Below are 21,613 nucleotides of genomic sequence, written 5' to 3' on the forward strand. Positions count from 1 at the left end.
AGGCATGGTGGCAGATACCTGTAATCCCAGCTACTTAGGAGGCCGAGGCAGGAGAATTGCTTGAACCCGGGAGGTGGAGGTTGCAGTGAGCAAAGATTGTGCCATTGCACTCTAGCCTGGGTGACAGGAGCAAGACTCCATCTCAAAAAAAAAAAAAAAACAAAAAAAAAACAAAGAAAAAAGAAAACAAAAAGCACCACACTGTAAATAAACTGAACAACCATGGTTAACGAAGTGTGAATAAATTACAGAAGCTCCATACTCTGGAACATTTGTCAGCTCTTAAAGAATGAATTATGATCCTTTTGTAGTTCATAAGCATGATGATTATGTGTTCACACACGTTCCCATGTAAGATGTGCCACCTTCAAATATTTTTTTTTTTTTTTTTTAAGAGGGAGTCTTGCTCCGTCACCCAGGCTGGAGTGCAGTGGCGCGATCTTGGCTCACTGCAAGCTCCGCCTCCCGGGTTCATGCCATTCTCCTGCCTCAGCCTCCTGAGTAGCTGGGACTACAGGCACCCGCCACCACGCCCGGCTAATTTTTTTGTATTTTCAGTAGAGATGGGGTTTCGCTGTGTTAGCCAGGATGGTCTCAATCTCCTGAACTCGTGATCCGCCCGCCTTGGCCTCCCAAAGTGCTGCGATTACAGGCGTGAGCCACCGCGCCCGGCCGCCACCTTCAAATCTTGTTACGACATAGGCACATTACCCGTCTGACATGAAAAAAAAAAAAAAGAATGAATTATGGAAATGAACTAGAAAAATGTCTATGATTTCAAAATAGTAGGATCTTTTTTGTAAGGTGAGTAGATACATATTGATGTCAGAGAAGAGAGTTAAACTGTTAATGTTACTTCAGAAAGGACTGATTAGGGTGGAGGAGGAGGGAGAATTTAACTTTAAAAAATTGCTGGGCATGGGCTGGGCACGGTGGCCCACGCCGGTAATCCCAGCACTTTGGGAGGCCGAGGTGGGCAGATCACGAGGTCAATAGATCGAGACAACCCTGGCAACATGGTGAAACCCCATCTCTACTAAAACTACAAAAATTAGCTTGGTGTGGCGGTGCTCACTTGTAATCCCAGCTACTTGGGAGGCCGAGGCAGGAGAATCGCTTGAACCCGGGAGCCGGAGGTTGCAATGAACGGAGATCGCGCCTCTGCACTCCAGCCTGGGTGACAGCGCGAGACTCCATCTGCACAAAAAAAAAAAAAAAAAAATTACCAGGCATGGTGTCTCATGCTTGTAATCCCAGCACTTTGGGAGGCTGAGGTGGGAGAATTGCTTGAGTCTGGGAGTTTGAGATCAGCCTGGGAAGCATAGTGAGACCCTGTCTCTACAGAAAATAAAAAATTAGCCGGGTGTGGTGGTGCATGCCTGTAGTCCCAGCTGGGAGAATCACTTGAGCCTAGGAAGTGGAGGCTGCAGTGGGCCATAATCACGCCACTGTGCTCCAGCCTGGGCAACAGAGCTAGACTCTGTCTCAAAAATAAATAATAAAATAAAAATAAAATGTGCTTCAGCATCTCTAGAATTGTTCCGATTAGAAATGTTACTTTCATAAAATAAAAATAACACACACGCTAAAGTATACATGTGTAGAAAAAAAATTCCCAACTTCCAGAGAGAACCTCCGTAAATATTTTTGATTTATTTTCTTCAGTTGCTTTTCCATATATCAATATTTTTGCATGCATTTAAAAAATGCAATTAAAAAAAAAATTTTTTTTTGAGGCGGAATCTCGCTCTGTCGCCCAGGCTGGAGTGCAGTGGCGTGATCTTGGCTCACTGCAAGCTCCGCCTCCCAGGTTTTCACGCCATTCTCCTGCCTCAGCCTCCTGAGTAGCTGGGACTACAGGCATCTGCCACCAGGCCCGGCTAATTTTTTTGTACAAAAAATACAATTTTTTTTAAGACAGGGTCTAGCTCTGTTGACCAGGCTGGAGTGTGCAGTGGTGTGATTTTGGTTCACTGAAACGTCCACCTCCTGGGTTCAAGTGATCCTCCTGCCTCAGTCCCCCGAGTAGCTGGGACTACAGGGGTGTGCCACCATGCCTGGCTAATATTTTTGTGTGTATTTTTAGTAGAGATGGGGTTTCACCATGTTGGCCAGGCTGGTATCGAACTCCTGACCTCAAGTGATCCTCCTGCCTCAGTCTTCCAAAGTGCTGGGATTACAGGCGTGAGCCACTGCACCTGGCCTCTTCTTTTTTTTTTTTTTTTTAATTATTTTTGGCTGGGCGCAGTGGCTCACGCCTGTAATCCCAGCACTTTGGGAGGCCGACGCGGGTAGATCATGAGGTCAAGAGGTCCAGACCAGCCTCTTGTAAAAATACAAAAATTAGCTGGGTGTGGTGGTGGGCGCCTGTAATCCCAGCTACTCAGGAGGCTGAGGCAGAGAATTGCTTGAACCTGGGAGGCAGAGGTTGCAGCAAGCTGAGATGATGCCACTGCACTCCAGCCTGGATGACAGAGTGAGACTCTGTCTCAAAAAATAAATAAATAAATAAATAAAAATTTTATTTTTTAATTAAAAATTTACTTATTTATTATTATTATTATTATTATTATTATTATTGGAGACGGAGTTTCACTCTTGTCACCCAGGCTGGAGTGCAATGGCAGGATCTCAGCTCACTGCAACCTCCGCCTCTGGAGCTCAAGCAATTCTCCTGCCTCAGCCTCCCAAGTAGCTGGGATTACAGGCATACGTCACCATGCCTGGCTAATCTTGTATTTTTAGTAGAGACGGGGTTTTACCATGTTGGCCAGGCAGGTCTCAAACTTCTGACCTTGGGTGATCCACCCGCCTCGGCCTCCCAAAGTGCTGGGATTACAGGAGTGAGCCACCGTGCCCATCCTATTAATTTAATTAATTAATTTATTTATTTATTTTCTGAGACCGAGTCTCACTCTGTCGCCCAGACTGGAGTGCAGTGGTGTGATCTGGGCTCACTGCAACCTCCGCCTCCTGAGTTCAAGCGATTCTCTGCCTCAGCCCCCCGAATAGCTGGGATTACAGGTGCCCGTCACCATGCCTGGCTAATTTTTGTATTTTTAGTAGAGACGGGGTTTCACCATCTTGGCCAGGCTGGTGTTGAACTCCTCACCTCGTGATCCACCTGCCTGGGCCTCCCAAAGTGCTGGGATTACAGGCGTGAGCCACCGCGCCTGGCCTATTTATTTTTTTAAAATGGAGTCCCACTCTGTCGCCCAGGCTGGAGTGCAGCGGCACCACCTCGGCTCACTGCAACCTCTGCCTCCCAGGTTCAAGCAACTCTCGTGCTGCGCCTCAGCCTGCTGAGTGGCTGGGACTACAGGCATGTGACACCATGCTTGGCTAATTTTTTTTTTGAGACGGAGTTTCACTTTTGTTGCCCAGGCTGGAGTGCAATGGTGCGATCTCAGCTCACCGCAATCTCCGCCTCCCGGGTTCAAGCAAGTCTCCTACCTCAGCCTCCCGAGTAGCTGGGATTACAGGCATGCGCAATCACGCCCAGCTAACTTTTCGTATTTTTAGTAGGGACGGGGTTTCACCATAATGGTCAGGCTGGTCTCGAACTCCCGACCTCAGGTGATCTGCCCGCCTCGGCCTCCCAAAGTGTTGGGATTACAGGCATGAGCCACTACTCCTGGCCTAATCTACATTCCATTATGTGGACTATTTAACCCCATTGTGAGAAATTTGTATATGCTTTTTTCTTTTTTTTTTTTTGATACGGAGTCTTGCTCTGTTGCCCAGGCTGGAGTGCAATGGCAGGATCTCAGCTCACTGCAACCTCCGCCTCTGGAGTTCAAGCAATTCTCCTGCCTCAGCCTCTCAAGTAGCTGGGATTACAGGCATACGCCACCATGCCCAGCTAATTTTGTATTTTCAGTAGAGACGGGGTTTTACCATGTTGGCCAGGCTGGTCTCAAACTCCTGACCTCAGGTGATCCTCCCGCCTCAGCCTCCCAAAGTGCTGGGATTACAGGCGTGAGCCACCGCCTGTATATGCTTTCTTTCACTATTATACATGACACTTAAAAAATATTATCATATATTAGTTATCTTTTTTGTTGTTTTTTGAGACCGAGTCTCCCTCTGTTGCCCAGGCTGGAGTGTCATGGCATGATCTCAGCTCACTGCAACCTCAGCCTCCCAGATTCAAGCAATTCTCCTGTCTCAGCCTCCCGAGTAATTGGGACTACAGGCATGCACCTCGATATCCGGCTAATTTTTGTATTTTTAGTAGAGACGGGGTTTCACCATGTTGGCCAGGGTGGTCTCAAAGTCCTGACCTCAGGCGATCTGCCGGCCTTGGCCTCCCAAAGTGTTGGGATTACAGGCATGAGCCAGCCACATTAGTTTTCAAATGCAGATGAAACAAGGGACCGTGGAATGCCTGTTGTCTCAGGTGTGCTCCTAGGCATGGGTTCCAAACTTACAGGTACAAACTTACTTATGGGTAGAGAGACAGATAATAAGTACGTGGTCTGCAAACGTGGCTAATTTCCCCAGAACAGAATCCTGGAATACTGGTCTGAGAGGGTATAATTATTTTAAAATATTTTTGGGGCCAGGTGCGTTGGCTTATGCCTGTAATCCCAGCACTTTGGAAGGCAGGAGGATCACTTGATCCCAGGAGTTTGAGGCTACACTCCAGCCTGGGCAACAGAGTGAGACTCCGAGTCTCCAAAAAACAAAAAAAGACAAAAGAACCCCAAAAAAACAACTTTTGGCTCATACCGCCAAACTCATGTCCAGGAATTTTGAGGTGATTTATGTGCTTCCAAAAGTATATGAGAGTGATTACCTATCAGACCTTGTGTTTGAAGGTTATCACTTGAAACTGATTTTTAATTTGTTTAGGAGAAAACCCAGCTTCTTATAGTTTTATTTTATTTATTTATTTATTTTTTTGAGACGGAGTCTCGCTGTCGCCCAGGTTGGAGTGCAGTGGCACGATCTCGGCTCACTGCAGGCTCCGCCCCCCGGGGTTCACGCCATTCTCCTGCCTCAGCCTCCCGAGTAGCTGGGACTACAAGCGCCCGCCACCTCGCCTGGCTAATTTTTTGTATTTTTAGTACAGACGGGGTGTCACCGTGTTAGCCAGGATGGTCTCGATCTCCTGACCTCGTGATCCGCCCGCCTTGGCCTCCCAAAGTGCTGGGATTACAGGCGTGAGCCACCGCGCCCGGCCTATAGTTTTAATTTATATGTCTTGGGTTAGTAGAATGGTTGACTTTTTTTTTCAGTCGTTCCTTCAAATAGTGAGTCCTCTGCTAGGCTCTATTTGTGGAATATTCTTGTTCTTCTTCAGGGATGTTTGATAGCTCTTTTTTTTCCACAGATGTTTGATATTTCCTTTTTCATCTATTGTGTTCTTACCATTTCTAGGATGTTTCTAGGCTTTCTATTCTATTTCCTGTTCTGTACCACACTGAAATGCCTGCGGTAGCTTTACAATTTGTTTTGATATCTGTTAGGGCAAGTCTACCCTCATGCCTGCTTTTGTTCCCAAGGGGGGAAAACCATAGCTGTTTTCGGCTATTTATTTTTCCAGGTGAACTTAGAATTTTGTGAAGTCTAAGAAATGTTGTTAGGATGACATTAAACCTATACATCCATTAGGAAAGAAAGGTTGCATCATCAGCTTGGCGAAGGGTTATTGAAACTGGTTTTTGATCTTGACTGGAGCTGGGGCACAACTTCCCTGTAAGGCAGACCTGGGCTCCTCTTGGACTTGGGCGACCTCGATAGTGGTGTGTTCCTTTGTTTGGTGTTCAAAGTAGAGAGCGGTCCATTAACTAGCTCCCTAGAGAAGCAGTGGCGGCTCAGGCCAGCCCAGCCCCTGGGAAGGCTATCTGCATGGCGGCCGGGAGCCCGGGTCCTGGTGGGCCGGCTCGGGCAGGCGCTTGACCCCTGGGGCCTGCGAGGGGCTGCGGCCACCGGAAGGGGCTGGCTGAGCGCAGCGTGCTGGGTCCTCCGCGCCCTCGGAGCAGGTAGGGTTCGCGGGGGTGCGCCCGCGGGGGCCCGAGGGGCGCTGGGGTCACGGGAGGGGCGCCCCTTCTCTTTTGCACCCAACCAGCCCGGGCTTCCCCAGGAGCCCAGACCCCCGAGCTTGCAGTCACTGCTGGCTGCGCCTTTGAGCCTCGGGCAACCGCAGGGAGCGTCGAGCAGGGGTCGCAAAGGGGTCGGGGAGGGGGCGCGTAGGCCGATAGAGGTCCCTAATTCGGGGCTCCTAGGGGTCAGGGTAGGGCTAAAAGGGGGTAAGTCCACCAGAGTTTGAGGGGGTGGGCGTCAGCCTGTCGGGGGGGGCCAGGGTCCCTGTCCCGGGGGCCGGTATGCGGTCCGGGTATTTCAGGGGCGAGGTCGCGGTCCTGCCCTGGCGCTTGAGGTCGGAGTCCGGTTAGATGTCCGGGGTCTGGGTCCCCGGCTCCTCCCGCGCACCCCTCCCCCACGGCGCCGGACCCCGGCAGCCCGCCCCGCCTAGTGCTGGGACCGCTGTCCGGCCCGGCCCCGCCCCCGCAGGCCCCGCCCCTGTTCACAGGCCACGCCCCCAGCTGCCCCCTGTCCCCGCCCCGCCGCTCGCCCATTCAGATGTGGGTCAGGGGTGAGCGGGCGGCGCCGACGTCACAAGCTTCCAAGATGGCGCTGGGCGGGCGGCTGTGAGCGGCGCTCGGGGCGCGCTAGGCGGGGAGCCGAGCCGGGCTGGCGGCAGGCGGACGGGGCGGGCGCGTGCGGCGCGAGCCGGGCGCTGAGGACAAGGGCCGCTGGTAGGGCCGGCCGGCCGGCGGGCGGAGCGCCGCCGCCGACGCACACGAGGTGAGGGGCGGCCTTGTGGGGCGGGGGGCGCGGGGAGCGGGCGGGGGCCGGGGCCGCGGGCTGGGCGCGTCCCCGGGGAGAGGGGCGTGGACGCGCGCGCGCCCGGGCGACGTGGGACTGCGCGCGTGGGGGACGCGCTAGCGTCTGGCGGGCCTGGGCTGGGGCGCACGCGGGACCCCTGGCAGGCCCGGGCTTTGTGGGCCAGATGCCCGGAGGGGCGCGGGCGGTGGGGCACCCGGGGCACAAAGCCCACCGGGCCGCGCCAGGCCCAGGCGGCGCGGGTCTGCGGAGCGGGGGTCGGCGGGCGAGCGGGCGCCGGCTCTTTGTGCCTTTTCATTAGCAATCTAATCCGAACAGCGTCGGGCGAGCTGCGCTGCCTGACAGGCGGGAGGGCTCCCATTATGCAAACGGCCCTGCGCCCGCGTTCGCCCCCTCGCTAGAGGATTTTGCGATTTCCAGGACTGCGGTCCTGCACCGTCTGCGGTCTCCTCTCCTCTTGCCTCCTCCCCGCGGGAAGACTGGCCACGGCAGGGGCAGGGGCGGGCCTGGAGGGGCCGCTCCCAGAGGGCCGGGCTCTGCGGCTGGTGGGCTCGCTGCCCTGCCCCCAGACCTCTCCTGTAGGCAGCCGCTTGGCAGGAAGAGAGATGGGCTTGGGGGAGGGGGTCGGCTTTCAGGGGGAAGGGACCGGCTGGCTGAGGGAGGGGGCTGAGGGGCCCCAGCTTGTCACTCTCTGTTTATCTTCCAAGATGGTTCATATTCACACAGGCCTGGGTGTGTGCGTGGTTGGGGGGGGTGGGGGGGAATGCCTCTCCCTGGGGGGCAGTGACTTGCTGAGAGGAGGGAATGAGGCCAGATAATGCTCCCAACGGCCCCACCCAGAACTGCCTGGGACTGCCTGTGTAAGGGAGCCCAGTGCTGAGCCGGATGGGTTGGAGCGGTGTTAAAGTTATTTATCCATGTCTTCTCCTGTCCCCCGCACCCCTAGTCTTTTCTAGTAGGAGTTGCCAAGCACATCTGGAAAGCTGTGTTCCCCGACCCCCCACTCCCCCAACAGCAGGAGGGGTGTAACCCAGGGAAGCCACCCCTCTGACATATGTGCTGGGGGGAGGGGCAGAGCCTTGCCCCTAGGAATCCTGTGGCGGTGGGTTGTTGACTGATGTGGGATTGCTGTGTCTCTTGTGCTGTCGGAGAGCTGGCAGGTAGTGGAGGGGCCTTGGGAGCTCCTAGGCTGAACTTGGGGCTGTCCTCCAAGGATCCAGGATGGAGGGATGGAGCTGGGTCACTCAAACCTAAGGCCTTTCTGGGTCTAGCATTTATTGCTTCCTGGCTTCTGGCTTGGCTTCTTTTCGTCCATTCTCATCTGCCAGTGTCTGGACTCCCTGGGCCTTCAGGCAGGCATTTTCAGGAGCACAGGCCATGTGGTTGGTCTGGAGCCCTGTGTCAAGGAGAGTGTGCGTGCTTGGTGGAGCAGGGTTGCTGGAGTAGTGTGAAAAAAAGCAGATGAGCTGGCCTCTGGAGACAAAGCTGTGTGGCAAGACTGCTGGTTTAGTGGGCTCTGAACACCAAGAACAGGGCCGGGAGTCTGATACTTGGGGGCTGAACTGAGTCCTGTGGCGCAGGATTGTTGCCTGGAAGTGAACGTTCCGTCTTGTGCCATTGAGACTGTGAAGATCTCTGGGTCCCACAGGACGAGCAGTAGACTTGGAAGGCTGGGAAGAGGCTCCCCAGCTGCCTGCCTTGGGAGGTCAGAGCTCTCAGGTGGGTCGGCAGGCCAGTGTCGGGCTGGGGGAGGGAGGTTGTAGTAGAGTGCCTGTGGCCCAGCTTCTCTGGTCAGTTGGCTCTGAGTGCTGCTGTGTGCCCAGCAACCTCTCCCTGCGGTGTTTTTCTGCCAGTTGTTGGAACTTGTAGATTAGTCACTGAGTTTTTACGACCGATTCCTGAAAAGAAAAATCTCCCTCTGGTTGCTGCCTCTGTGTAGAGGAAGAAGCAGCCCGAGGGAGTCAGGCCTTTAATTAAAGCAAAACCGAAATGATTGTCGAAGTTGCTGGAAGGAGAAGAGAAGGCGCAGGTGGGGCAGGGGTGATGAGTCCTGTTGTGCTGCATGATACCTGCTCTGGGGACAGGTAGGCACGATCCCATCCTCGATCCTTGGTCTTGGCCAGCAGCCCAGCCTTCTCCACAAGCTGCAGTCGCAGATTAATCCTCACGTAGTGTTTTCTTTCCGTAGATCAGATTTCTCATTTTGTTAATAAGCGCAGCCTCCCATCCACTTGAAGTCAGCTGTTGTGGACGAGGAGCAACAGGGTTTTGCATTATTGAGCTGATAGCCTGCCGCCTCCCCTCAAGTCCTTATTGTTTGCGGGGTCAGATCTGAGGGGTGGGGAAGTGCCATTTAATCAGCAGCCAGCCCCTGGAGAAGAGCTGGCGGGGCAGTTCTGGAGAGTGAGAGCCGTGAGGAAGGAATAAAGTTCAGTTTACCCAGGGGACTTGTGGTTCCAACCTTATTGCTTGGTCTGTTGGCCTGGAGCAGTCAGCCCCACCCCATACCTTGTCCTGCCCGCTGCCCCCAGTACCTGATCCCTGGGAGAGTGGGGCACTTCTTCTGGGCTGCTCTTGCTGGCCTGGGAGGCAGCTTTCACCGCGGGAAGAAAGAACACATTGGGTTCCTCCCTTCTTGTCTCCTCCGAGCCTGGCCTAGGACGGACCCCTGTGGGGCAGTGAGAGGGGAACTGGACTTGGTCGGTCGCAAAGTCTGTAGTGCATTGCTGGCTCTGCCATTTACTCCCGTCATGACCTTGAGCAGTGATTGACTCTCCTGCCGGGTTTCTACAATGGGAACAGAACTGGAGTTTACATTCATGTATCGCTGTTTTCTGGAGCTCAGCCTAGGGAAGGCAGACACTCAACAAATGATTATAAGATGGGGTGATAAGGGCTGGCATCTAGCGGAGCGCAGAGGGCATAGCGGTGGCGTGGGAGGAGCCGGCCGTGGGCTGGCTGAGAACCCTGGATGCCATGTGGGTTGGGGTTGGCCTGGAGGGGAGGGGTTTTAACCAGGAAGTGACTGCTACTGGGTTTTAAAAGGCAGTGGTAGGGTAGAGGGTGGCAGTGGAGACAGCTGGAGAGCACTGAGGACGCGGACCCACGGGTACTGTGTGAGCTGTGAAGCCCGCTTGGGAGACCCCACTGCCAGCCAGGCATGTATGTGGCTCTTTTTCAAGCTTTTTATTCATTCCGCCACATTTTCTGAGCGCAAAGTCAGTGCCTGGCCCCCTTGGTTTAGACCAAGTCATGTTGGCCCCTGCTTTCTGGTGCTCACAGACTTGCCTGGGCGGGGTGATAGAGGCGCTTGCAGTTCAGCACGCGGCCCGTTCTCCTCTGGAGGAGGGAAGGAGCTGCTTTTGGAAGTTAAGTAGCTTGCTGGGGGCTGGAGGGTAAATGCCTTTGACTCCACCGCCTGTGGAGGCCCATATAGTGTGGTGTCTGGAGAGATCTGAGATCGCACTAGGGAGGATGGGGCTGAAAGCCCCCTCCCTAAGAGAGGTCCTGGCTCCCATTTAGGGGCTTCTGAACCAGCCCTTCCAGTTTGACTCTGCCTGGCACCGCCAGGGTTCGCTTCCTGCTGGGAGGGGCCTTGCCCTAAGGGTTAGGGACCTGGGCTGGGGGAGGGCTCTGAGGAGGGGCTGGGCCCCGAGGGACTGAGGGACTGCAGGCTTGCTTGCCTTGAGCCCAGTTTTAGCTGGGAGTGGCAAAGCGAGAAAAGCTGGTGGGGATGGGAGCTCTGTGTGGGCCCCCAGTGAGCTTGATAAGGGAGGCGAGGCTGGGAGCTGGTTCCAGCCCGCCAAAGTTCAGGAGGGAAGGGCCAGACTGCCTGAGAGGGGTGTGGCGGGACTGAGTGGGGAGAGGGACTCCAAGAAACTGCTTGGGACCCTCGGGAAGGTGGCCAGGCTTTGGGGAGCCCCTCCTTCTAACTATTCAATTTATTTTTTATGGTAATGTTAGTGGGTGGAGAGTGGGAGTGCAGCCTCGGTGTTAGAACAGGGGGACTTGGGGGTCCTTCTAATGGTGAGAGGGAACAGGGATGGGTCAGCTAGGTGCCTCTTACCTAGAGGCACCGGTTTTTTGTGAGGTGGGCAGCGCATCGTAGGATCTTAGGTGCATGTTTTCTGTTTAAGGGTGATCACACATGGGGTGTGGTGAGGAGGGAGTATGTGGAGTCCCCAGCCTTCCTGTGGCAGTTCCCAGTGTGACTAAAAGAAGGCAGGGATTGGGTTTGGTTAGGTGGGTGCTTCCAGGTGAGAGTTGGCCTGCTGTGGAAATGGAAGAGCTCCTGGCTCTGGCAGGGGTGTGGCTGCTGTACAGACTTGTCCCCTGCCGTCCCGGGCTGTTGCCCTGCGGCTTGGGCTTCGGCTTCATTCCACCGGGTGGGTGGGTTCTCTGACAAGTGTGGGAAGGGGCCGCTCCCATTACCACACTGAGGCCTGAGCCCCTTTGAGGGGGAGGATCTGTTGCATGGCCTTTGCAAGCCCTCACCCCTGCTGCGGGTCGGGCGGTGAGGCCGCAGCACTCGGAAGACGGTAAACTGTTGGTGAGCTCTCATTCACAAAGTAAGTGAGAAGGGAGAGTGGGGACTGGGACTTCGGTGGCCTGTCCTTGTGTGGACACAGTGGGGCTCTTCTGGGTGATGAGTGCAGGCCGCACATTCACCCAGCACACGTTGCCCATGCTGCCTGGCAGAGGCCTGCCTGCTGGTGCTCTGGTTCTCACCTTGAGCTATACCTGTCTCTGGGGTGGGCCCAAGGCACTAGCTTTTCCTGAAGCTTTTGAAGTGAACCTGATGTGCAGCCAAGTTTGAGAACCGCTCTTCTAGCAGGTGATGCATCTTTGTTGATAATAGAATCCACAGGCGGAGGGATGAGTAGCCCGCGCTTTTACCTGCGGTTCTCACTAACTGCTTTACTCCGAGGGCCTGGTGGGGTCAGCGGTTACCCAGTGAATGAGTTGGCAGAGTCAGTCATGCCTGTTCCTGGGTAGTTACTGGGCACAGAGGGTGAACAGCAGGAGGAACCTAGCCCATGTGCACTGCTGGCTTCTCCTGGGAGGTCCTCTGGAGAGCTGCCTATAGCCCTCAGCTGTAGGCGGGTCCTACTGACCCCGTAGCACGGGCTTTTGGAGTCTGCCTGGCCTGGTTTCCTGGCTGCATTCTTGGGCTCTCGTTGGCCTGTATGTAGTCTGGCGGGACCTCACATAGTGCAGTTTGGGTTGAGCGGAGGTGGCCAGTAATGGGGGCCCCTGGGACTCCTGGGACCTCTGTCTTCTTCTCCCTGGAAGAGAAGAGATTTGTCCCTGAGGTTGGTTTCTTGGGCTGTGTTATCTGGACAAGGTATATGAGGCCACTAATAGGGGCAGAGAAGGACGAGTGGGAGGGGACTGAAGGGGGACGGGAGACAGAGAGCTTCAGGTAGGGCCTGGCTGGGCCTGGCCCCCTTTGCTGGAACAGAACAATAGGTTGTTCTGGGGTTTTGTTTGTATTTGAGGGAGAGAGGCTATAAGACGGCTCCTGCCAGCTAGGAGCAGCCTATCATGTGAGGGGACGGGTAGGCCCCTGGGTGTGGTTTTGGTCAGCATCCTGGGTAGGAAATCTTGCCTCTTAGAGGTGGGACAGCAACCTGGCCAGGGGCAGTAGAGGAGATGGGAAAAGGGGCTCAGAAGGAAGGGGGTGGTGCACATCTTGGTAGCTGGGTCCAGGTGGTCCTGTCCTGAGTGAGTGATCTGGGGGTGGATTCCTGCCCTAGGTCTTGCGCCCCTTCACCCCAGCCCTGTCCGGGACCCCATGGCCCTTCCCCTTTATGGAAGCAGCTGCTATTATAGTTTCTGTCTGGCTTGTACCAGGGTACTTGGCTTAGAAGATGGGAAGAGGATGGTCCCCACGGAGTTCTGACAGAAGGCTAGGAAGGTAGTGGTGAAGAGGGTAAGCACTCATCCTGGGCTCGTTCCTGGGCTCAGCCTGGCAGTGGGCATTCTATGCCCGGTTCAGTTGTCAGAACACACCGGTGTGGTCCTCATCATCTTGTCAGTCCTCGTTGTACAAGTGGCTCAGAGAAGTTAGAGTCGTACATCTAAGAAGTGAGTGGCGAAGCTCCAGGTGAAGTGTGTGAAAGCCTCGGACACATTTGTGAGTGAGGACTCCTTACTCTGCGCAGTGCTTGGGCTGGAGGGCAGCTGAGGTGTTCATTTTGAGTGGGGTAGTGGGTTGGCTGCTCTGGACAAAGCCAGGGAATCTGGCTCCCAGAGTGGGAAGGTGGTCCCCTGCAGGTCCCCCATTCCTCCCCAAGGACCAGGGGCCAGAGAGCGTTCTCTGGGTCGTCCTCATCCTTCCAGTCACACGCAGCTCCTTACTGTCTGGTATGTGGGAATCTTCTGCCCCACGGCAGCCTGTGCCTTTGCCGAACACCTCCAGGAGAGCCATGTGGGGGATGGTCTGGACGTTGCAGGGACCAGAGCCGAGCTCTTGAGATTCTCTGAGTGTGGACAAACGAGGTGCTCAGACATGGCCCTTGGTGGTGTGGGGACACAGGCAGGATAGCTCCTCTCGGTGACTCTTGGTAGATTGTCTTCTGGTAGATGGGCTGGGGGTGCGGGTTCTGGTGCTTCAAGGTGGTTGTCCTCTGACTGTGAACCAGAGCCCAGGGACCAGGCGTCAGCCCCGTGCTGGCCGAAGGGAGAGGGTTGTTGCCAAAGTCCCACATTCCAGGCATGTGTTGATGCTGATAAGGCAGCCTAGGGCTGGCCTAGCCACTTTGGGCAGGAGGGGACTTTGACTTCATGCCCCCAGCAGGCAGCATGCACATCTTGCTTCCTGGTAGCACCCCTCCCCCACCGACCCCCTCTGCTTCCAGGTGCAGGGCCCCCGCCGGGTCCTGGTCACACAGCCTGCAGAGGCAGTGCCGCTTTCAGCAGCGTTGCTGGCTCTTAGTAGCAGGCCTCTGGAGGCCTATTGATGGATTCTGCCAGCCCCACCTCTTAGAGTATTCGAGGATGCCATTGGAAATGGCACTTCCTTTTATTTGCTGAAATTTGTTACTCTTAGGTTTGGCAGTGGGCTCCTTGTCCAAGAGTTCAGCTTTTGGGGAAGTGTAGTTTTGTGGAAAGATGACTCCTGCTTCCTCCGTGGGCCAGTCTCTTAAGCTCTCCAGGCCTCATTCTCCTTGCCTGTAAACGAGTTGTTAGAAATATTTGAGGCAGTGCTTGTCAGCTATTCTCAAAGTTGTTTGCAGACCCTGAGGGTCCCCGATACCTTTTTCAGTATATTTAGAAGTTACAAGGTCAGATGCGGTGGCCCACGCCTGTAATCCCAGCACTTTAGGAGGCCAAGGCGGGCGGATCACCTGAGGTTGGGAGTTCCAGATCAGCCTGGCCAACATGGTGAAACCCCGCCTCTCCTAAAAATACAAAAATTAGCTGGGTGTGGTGGCGCACGCCTGTAGTCCCAGCTACTCAGGAGGCTGAGGCAGGAGAATGGCTTGAACCTGGGAGGCGGAGGTTGCAGTGAGCCAAGATTTTGCCACTGCACTCCAGCCTGGGTGACAGAGCGAGACTCCATCTAAAAAAAAAAAAAATCACTGGCCTCTGCCCTGGGTGGACACTTGCACTGCCAGAGTTGTGTTCCCCACTGTTAGCCAGCACTGGGGGCTGAGACCCACCAGTTCTACACATGTCCAGGGGAGGCAGTACAGATGACTGAGTATTAAATCTAGACCTTTAATTACACATATTTTTACTTTTCTGTGTGATGAAATAGGAAGGATGCATGAGGCTTTTTTTTTTTGAGATGGAGTCTCGCTGTTGCCTAGGCTGGAGTGCAGTGGCGCAATCTCAGTTCACTGCAACCTCCACCTCCTGGGTTCAAGTCATTCTCGTGCCTCAGCCTCCCGAGTAACTGGGATTACAGGCACCCGCCACCACGCCTGGTTAATTTTTTCTTTTTTTTTTTTTTTTTGAGACGGAGTCTTGCCCTGTCGCCCAGGCTGGAGTGCAGTGGTGCGATCTCGCTGACTGCAACCTCCGCCTCCTGGGTTCAAGCGATTCTCCTACCCCAGCCTCCCGAGTAGCTGGGATTACAGGCGCCTGCCACCACGCCTGGTTAATTTTTTCTTTTTTTTTTTTTTTTGAGACGGAGTCTTTCCCTGTCGCCCAGGCTGGAGTGCAGTGGTGGGATCTCGCTCACTGCAACCTCCGCCTCCTGGGTTCAAGCGATTCTCCTGCCTCAGCCTCCCGAGTAGCTGGGATTACAGGCATGCGCCTCCATGCCCAGCTAATTTTTGCATTTTTAGTAGAGATGGGGTTTCACCATGTTGGTCAGGCTGGTCTCGAACTTCTGACCTCGTGATCCGCCCGCCTCAGCCTCCCGAAGTGCTGGGATTACAGGCATTAGCCACCGCGCCTGGTGTAATTTTGTCTAGTTTTAATAAAGTCTGGGTTTCGCCATGTTGGCCAGGCTGGTCTTGAACTCCTGACCTCAGGTGATCCACCCGCCCTGGCCTCCGGAAGTGCTGGGATTACAGGTATTAGCCACCATGCCCGGCATGAGGCTTTACAATTTTTTTTTTATTTTTAATTTTTTTTTGGCGATGTGGTCTCCCTCAGTTGCCTAGGCTGGAGTGCAGTGATGATGTAATCACGGCTCAGTGCAGCCTCACCTTCTGGGCTCAAATGATCCTCCTGCATAAGCCTCCCGAGTAGTTAGGACCACAGTCATGCGCCACCACAGCCAGCTATTTTTTTTTTTTTTTTTTTCCAGAGATGGGATCTTCCTGGTCTTGAACTCCTAGGCTCAGGCAGTCCTCCTACCACGACCTCCTAAAGTGTTGGGATTACAGGTGTTGAGCCACTGTGCCCAGCCTACATAGCAACTTTGTTTTTTTTTTTTTGAGATGGAGTCTCTGTTGCCCAGGCTGGAGTACAGTGGCACGATCTTGGGTCACTGCAACCTCTGCTTCCCGGGTTCAAGCAATTCTATTGCCTCAGCCTCCCAAGTAGCTGAGATTATAGGCACGTGCCACCACACCCGGCTAATTTTTGTATTTTTAGTAGAGACTGGGTATCTCCATGTTGGTCAGGCTGGTCTCAAACTCCTGACCTTGTGATCGCCCACCTCAGCCTCCCAAAGTGCTGGGATTACAGATGTGAGCCACCGTACCTGGCCTACATAGCAACTTTTATTTATGTTTTTCCTTGAAGCGGAGTCTTGCTCTGTTGCTAGTCTGGAGTGCAGTTGCGCAATTCTCCTGCTTCAGCCTCCTGAGTAGCTGGGATTACAGGCGCTTGCCACCACACCTGGCTAATTTTTGTATTTTTAGTAGAGACGGGATTTCACCACGTTAGCGAGACTGGTCTTGAACTCCTGACCTCAAGTGATCCACCTGCCTCAGCCTCCCGAAGTGCTGGGATTGCAGGCGTGAGCCACCGCGCCTGGCCCATAGCAACTTTTAAGAAACTCATTTGTCGAGCTTTAGTGTAATATCAATGAAGAATAGACAGTTTTCTGAAAAAGTTATTAAAATACTCCTTCCTTCTTTCTGTGTAAGGCCAAATTTCTTTAAAGACTTTAATCAAAACCGCATATCCTAACAGACTGAATGCAGGAGATATGAGAATCCAGCTTCTTCTATTAGGCTAGACATTAAAGAGATTTATAAAAGTGTAAAGCAATGCTATCCTTCTTTTTTTCTTTTCTTTTCTTTTTTTTTTTTTTGAGACAGTCTCGCTCTGTCGCCAGGCTAGAGTGCAGTGGCGCGATCTCTGCTCACTGCAACCCCCACCTCCCGGGTTCAAGTGATTTGCCTGCCTCGGCCTTCTAGCTAGCTGGGACTACAGGTGCGCGCCACCACACCTAGCTAATTTTTGTATGTATATATATATTTTTTAGTAGAGATGGGGTTTCACCTGTTGGCCAGGATGGTGTGGATCTCTTGACCTCGTGATCCGCCCGCCTCGGCCTCCCAGAGTGCTGGGATTGCAAGTGTGAACTACCGTGCCCAGCCCTTTTTTTGTTTTGTTTTTCGGATAGAGTCTCACTCTTATCACCCAGGCTGGAGTGCAGTGGCACAATCTCTCCTTACTGCAACCTCCGTCTCCTGGGTTCAAGGGATTCTGCTGCCTCAGCCTCCTGAGTAGCTGGGATTACAGGCACCTGTCACCACGCCCAGCTAATTTTTGTATTTTTTTAAATGTTGTTGTTTTTTTTTTTTGAGAGGGAGTTTTGCTCTTGTCCAGGCTGGAGTGCAATGGCGTGATCTTGGCTCACTGCAACCTCTGCTTCCCCCAGGTTCAAGTGATTCTCCTGCCTCAGCCTCCCCAGTAGCTGGGATTACAGGCATGCACCAACACATTTGGCTAATTTTTGTATTTCACCCTGTTGGGCAGGCTGGTCTCAAACTCCTGACCTCAGGTGATCCACCCGCGTCGGCCTCCCAAAGTGCTAGGATTACAGGCATGAGCCACTGCGTCCAGCCTATTTTTTTTTTTAAGACAGAGTTTCGCTCTTGTTGCCCAGGCTGGAATGCAATGGCACAATCTTGGCTCACTGCAACCTCCACCCCACACCCTCCCCTGGGGTAAAGCCATTCTCCTGCTTCAGCCTCCCAAGTAGTTGGGATTACAGGCACCTGCCACCACGCTTGGCTAATTTTTTGTATTTTTAGTAGAGATGGGGTTTCACCATGTTGGCCAGGCTGGTCTCGAACTCCAGACCTCAAGTGATCCACCTACCTCAGCCTCCCAAAGTGCTGGGACTACAGGCGTGAGCCACTGTGCTCAGCCTTTAAAAAAAATTTTTTTGGCCGGGCACGGTGGCTCACGCCTGTAATCTCAGCACTTTGGGAGGCTGAGGCGGCAGATCACGAGGTCAGGAGATCGAGACCATCCTGGCTAACACGGTGAAACCCCGTCTCTACTAAAAATACAAAAAGAAATTAGCCAGGCGCGGTGGCGGGCGCTTGTAGTCCCAGATACTCGGGAGGCCGAGGCAGGAGAATGGCGTGAACCCGGGAGGCGGAGCTTGCAGTGAGCCGAGATCACGCCACTGCACTCCAGCCTGGGCCACAGAGCGAGACTCCGTCTCAGAAAAAAAAAAAAAAAAACTGAATAAGAGGGCACTGTTGTAGTACATGGTAACATCAAATACAGCAACAGCCCAGATGCAGTGGCTCACACCTGTAATCCCAGCACTTTGGGAGGCTGAGGCTGCAGGATGGCTTGAAGCCAGGAGTTCGAGGTTGCAGTGAGCTATGATTGTACCACCGCACTTCAGCTTGGGTGACAGAGCAGGACCCTGTCTCAGAAAAAACCCCACAAAACAGTAATAGAGAAGCCACATAAGCAGATGCTCGTTAGGAGCCCTGACTATTTAAGAATGTAAACAACACAATTTTAGAACCAGTGGCAAGGAGGGTACTGGACATTTCCATCTTCCCCACGTGCCTCCTTATCTTTCACATGTTGTTTCACTCTGTCTCTTCTCAGCATTGGGTCTGACCAGCATTTGCTCACCTAATGAATGTTTATGAGTGCCTGCTGCATGCCTGCTGCTGTGGCTGCTTGGGACACAGGGTCTAACTTTGGGTACTGGTCTATGGGGTGGTGGGGGTAGGCAGGAGGGAAGCAGCTTGGCAGCTGGTGCTGACGTTGGAAGCGGGGGGACAACAGAGGCAGTTCTGGCTTCACAGAGGAGGGAGTCGTGAGGGGGCAGGCTCCTCCCAGAGTAGGGCACGGCCTGCAGGAGCTCTCAGGTGTGTCTGTGGAAGGGATGAGGTGGGCTTGATGCCCCTGTGGGAAGTGCTTTGCATGCCAGGCCTGAGCATGGACTTTATGCTAGGCATCAGGAATTTATTGAAAGCTTTATTTATTTTTTTAATTTTTTTTTTTTGTATTTTGAGATAGAGTTTCACTCTTGTTGCCCAGGCTGGAGTGCAATGGCGCGATCTTGGCTCACTGCAACTTCCTCCTCCCGGGTTCAAGTGATTCTCCTGCCTCAGCCTCCTGAGTAGCTGGGATTACAGGCATGCGCCACCATGCCCAGCTAATTTTGTATTTTTAATAGAGATGGGGTTTCTCCATGTTGGTCAGGCTGGTCTCAAACTCCAGACATCAGATGATCTGCCCGCCTGGGCCTCCCAAAGTGCTGGGATTAAAGGTGTGAGCCACCATGCCCGGCCCATTGAAAGCTTTAAGCAGGGGAGTGGCTTGATGAGATGGGTGTTGAGAAAGATAACTCAGGGTTATTGGACTCTGAATTGGAGGGTACAGGGACTAGGCGAGGGTTGGCTGGAGGGGTTGCAGGGGGGTGATTGTGTTCTAAACGCTGATATTTTCACTTAGAGTGGCTCTGATTCTGCCCTTCTTTCTCCTGTAGACCTTGGGAGGTTGCCTGGGATTTCTCCCTCCTGGACAACTTCTGTTGAGTGAAGCATACCTGCTACCCCAGGTGTGGAGGCCCCAGGTTCTTTTGCTTTGTATGATTAGGACAGGGTGATATTTTCTGGGTTATCTCTTGTGGGAACTGAGCCCTCCAAAGCCCTCATTTGTGCATTGTTGTCATAGCTGCCCAAGTGTGTGGCCTTGCTGAGTTTGACGGCTGTGGACCAGGTGATCTCTCGGGTGGTGAAAGGGAGGTGCTCTGTGAGTGCACCTCAGCTTTAGCCTCTTGGCTTCTCCCTGGATTGGGATTTCCAGGGAGGTCTCTTTCCTCTTTCTTTTTTCTCTTTCTTTTCTCTCTTTCTCTCTCTCTGTTTTTTTGTTTGTTTGTTTGTTTGTTTTTTAAATGAGACAGGGTCTTGCCGTGTTGCCCAGGCTGGTCTTGAACTCCTGGGCTCAAGCGATCCTCCTGCCTCAATCTCCCAAAGTGCTCAGATTAAAGGCATGAACCACCACACCCGACTTTCCTTTCTTTTGAGACTTCTGCACAGAGCAGGCTCAGCTTCCTTAGTAGACTTAGCCATTGAACTCTAAGAAGTTATTTACAAAGGTGTAAATAGGCCGGGCATGGTGGCTCACGCCTGTAATCCCAGCACTTTGGGAGGCCGAGGCAGGCGGATCACTTGAGGTCAGGAGTTTGAGACCAGCCTGGCCAAGATGGTGAAACCCTGTCTCTACCACAAAAATTAGCTGGGTGTGGTGATGGGTGCCTGTAATCCCCAGCTACTCGGGAGGCTGAGGCAGGACAGTCGCTTGAACCCGGGCAGCAGAGGTCGCAGTGAGCCGAGATTGTGTCACTGCACTCCAGCCTGGGCGACAGAGGAAGACTCAAAAAAAAAAAAAAAAAAACAAAGGTAAATTACATGTATATATGTGTGTGCACAAATCTTAAAGAATAGAGAGATAAGTAGTGGTAAACCTACTATTGGTTGAATCGTGGGTGTCCCACTAAGCGTGACACCGTTGTTCCCTCATGGCCACATAAGAAATAGCCTCCCAAGTTCCTGGGACACCTCATGCACTTCTCCCTGGCTTATTCCCACTTCCCTCTAGAAGCCAACAGTCTTCTGAATTGCGGGTCAGCCATTCGCTGGCTTTTGTCGGTTTCCCACCTTTGTCTGGATCCTGAAACTGCGAATGATTTTGGCTCAGTTCGCTGGGAGCCGGGTGTCCTGCACTCTTGGGACACCAGGAGCAGCAGTTCCTGTGTTCCCATTCTCCATTTCAGTGTCCAAGGTGGCGCCATCCACACATAATCACCTGTCCTGCTGGCAGTGAGCATTTGGGTGGGTTTCTGGGTTTTGTTTTTGCTGCCTTCTAAGTAGCTGACTTTTCACCCCCAAGCTATGCTTCTTGAGGCAGAGAAGTGCCAGTTTATTTTGTTTTCTGTCTCTAAATCCAGTTCCTTAATGCACCACTGAGACTCAGTTTAGAAGTACAGTGAAACTTTGTGAGCATTTTTCTCCCTGAGTTTGAATGGATCCCTCTCTCATTCTTTGAGTTCTTGGGCACTTGTCTCTTAGACACTTTCAAGTTACCTACTGGACAGGAGAGACCTCTTCTCTATAAAGTATCACACTTGGAGGCTTTTCAGGCACAGGACCATAGATTGTAATATTTTCCATAGCAGTTGCCCAATTTTATCTGTAAAAATTGCTTTTTAAGGCCTGGCACAGTGGCTCACACCTGTAATCCCAACATTTTGGAAGGCTGAGGCAGGAGGATCACTTGAGCCCAGGAGTTTGAGGCCAGTCTGGAAAACATAGTGAGACCTCATCTCTACAAAAAATTTTAAAAATTGGTTGGGCATCGTGGCATGCACCTTTAGTTCCAGCTACTCAAAAGGCTGAGACGGGAGGATCCCTTGAGCCCAGAAATTAGAGCTATGATCGCGCCACTGCACTCCAGCCTGGGCCACAGAGCAAGACCCTGTCTCCAAACAATCACAAAACTTCCAATGGATGCCGAACGTATAACTTTTTTTTTTTTTTTTCTTTCTTGGAGTAAAATAACTTGATCCTTGATCTTTGGCTGTAGCTCCTGAGCCATTTGAGGCACTGGGGGGTTTGTGTGTTGATTACCTATGAAGGAGCAAGTGGGCTGTTTCCTTCTCCCAGCGGCTTCCTTTGACCCCAAATCCCTGAGAGTCTCGCCCATTTTCTTCTTGGCTTCCTCCCTTTGATATGCCCAGCCGGCTCCTGCCCTACCTGGCTGCCACCAGGACCTGCTGGAGGCGGTTGCTGGGAATTATTTGGTGTCCTGTTTGAACCTCGCTTGCCGTGCTCCCAGATTTCCTGTTTCTCCTGGGCTTGCCTTTCAGGATTTGCAG

General features: G+C 53.2%; 1 protein-coding gene and 1 pseudogene across 3 annotated transcripts in view, besides 2 other annotated features; both read left to right on the forward strand.

Annotated features, from left to right (window-relative positions):
• Window positions 1-299: 299 nt before the first annotated feature.
• On the forward strand, window positions 300-382 carry LOC124905164 (uncharacterized; annotated as a pseudogene).
• Window positions 383-6,620: 6,238 nt separating this feature from the next.
• The window catches only part of HIC2 (HIC ZBTB transcriptional repressor 2), a 34,093-nt gene continuing 19,100 nt past the window's right edge, over window positions 6,621-21,613 (forward strand). For 2 of the 3 annotated variants that reach the window (NM_015094.3, XM_017028669.3), the window contains exon 1: window positions 6,621-6,810. The gene's annotated coding sequence lies outside the window, so the exon portion shown is untranslated. Of the gene's footprint in view, window positions 6,811-9,917; window positions 10,012-21,613 lie in introns of those variants that run through there. The other variant, XM_011530008.4, reaches the window with a different exon arrangement.
• Window positions 10,853-11,671: an enhancer, noted in NCBI's record as "H3K4me1 hESC enhancer chr22:21775892-21776710 (GRCh37/hg19 assembly coordinates)". NCBI's record gives its function as "activates a minimal SCP1, AML or CMV promoter by ChIP-STARR-seq in naive H9 embryonic stem cells {active_cell/tissue: H9 hESC(naive)}" and the evidence as "EXISTENCE:reporter gene assay evidence [ECO:0000049][PMID:30033119]".
• Window positions 12,822-13,383: an enhancer, noted in NCBI's record as "H3K4me1 hESC enhancer chr22:21777861-21778422 (GRCh37/hg19 assembly coordinates)". NCBI's record gives its function as "activates a minimal SCP1, AML or CMV promoter by ChIP-STARR-seq in naive H9 embryonic stem cells {active_cell/tissue: H9 hESC(naive)}" and the evidence as "EXISTENCE:reporter gene assay evidence [ECO:0000049][PMID:30033119]".

This window comes from Homo sapiens, chromosome 22 (genome assembly GCF_000001405.40).
Source record: "Homo sapiens chromosome 22, GRCh38.p14 Primary Assembly".
In the NCBI taxonomy this organism is placed as follows: domain Eukaryota; kingdom Metazoa; phylum Chordata; class Mammalia; order Primates; family Hominidae; genus Homo; species Homo sapiens.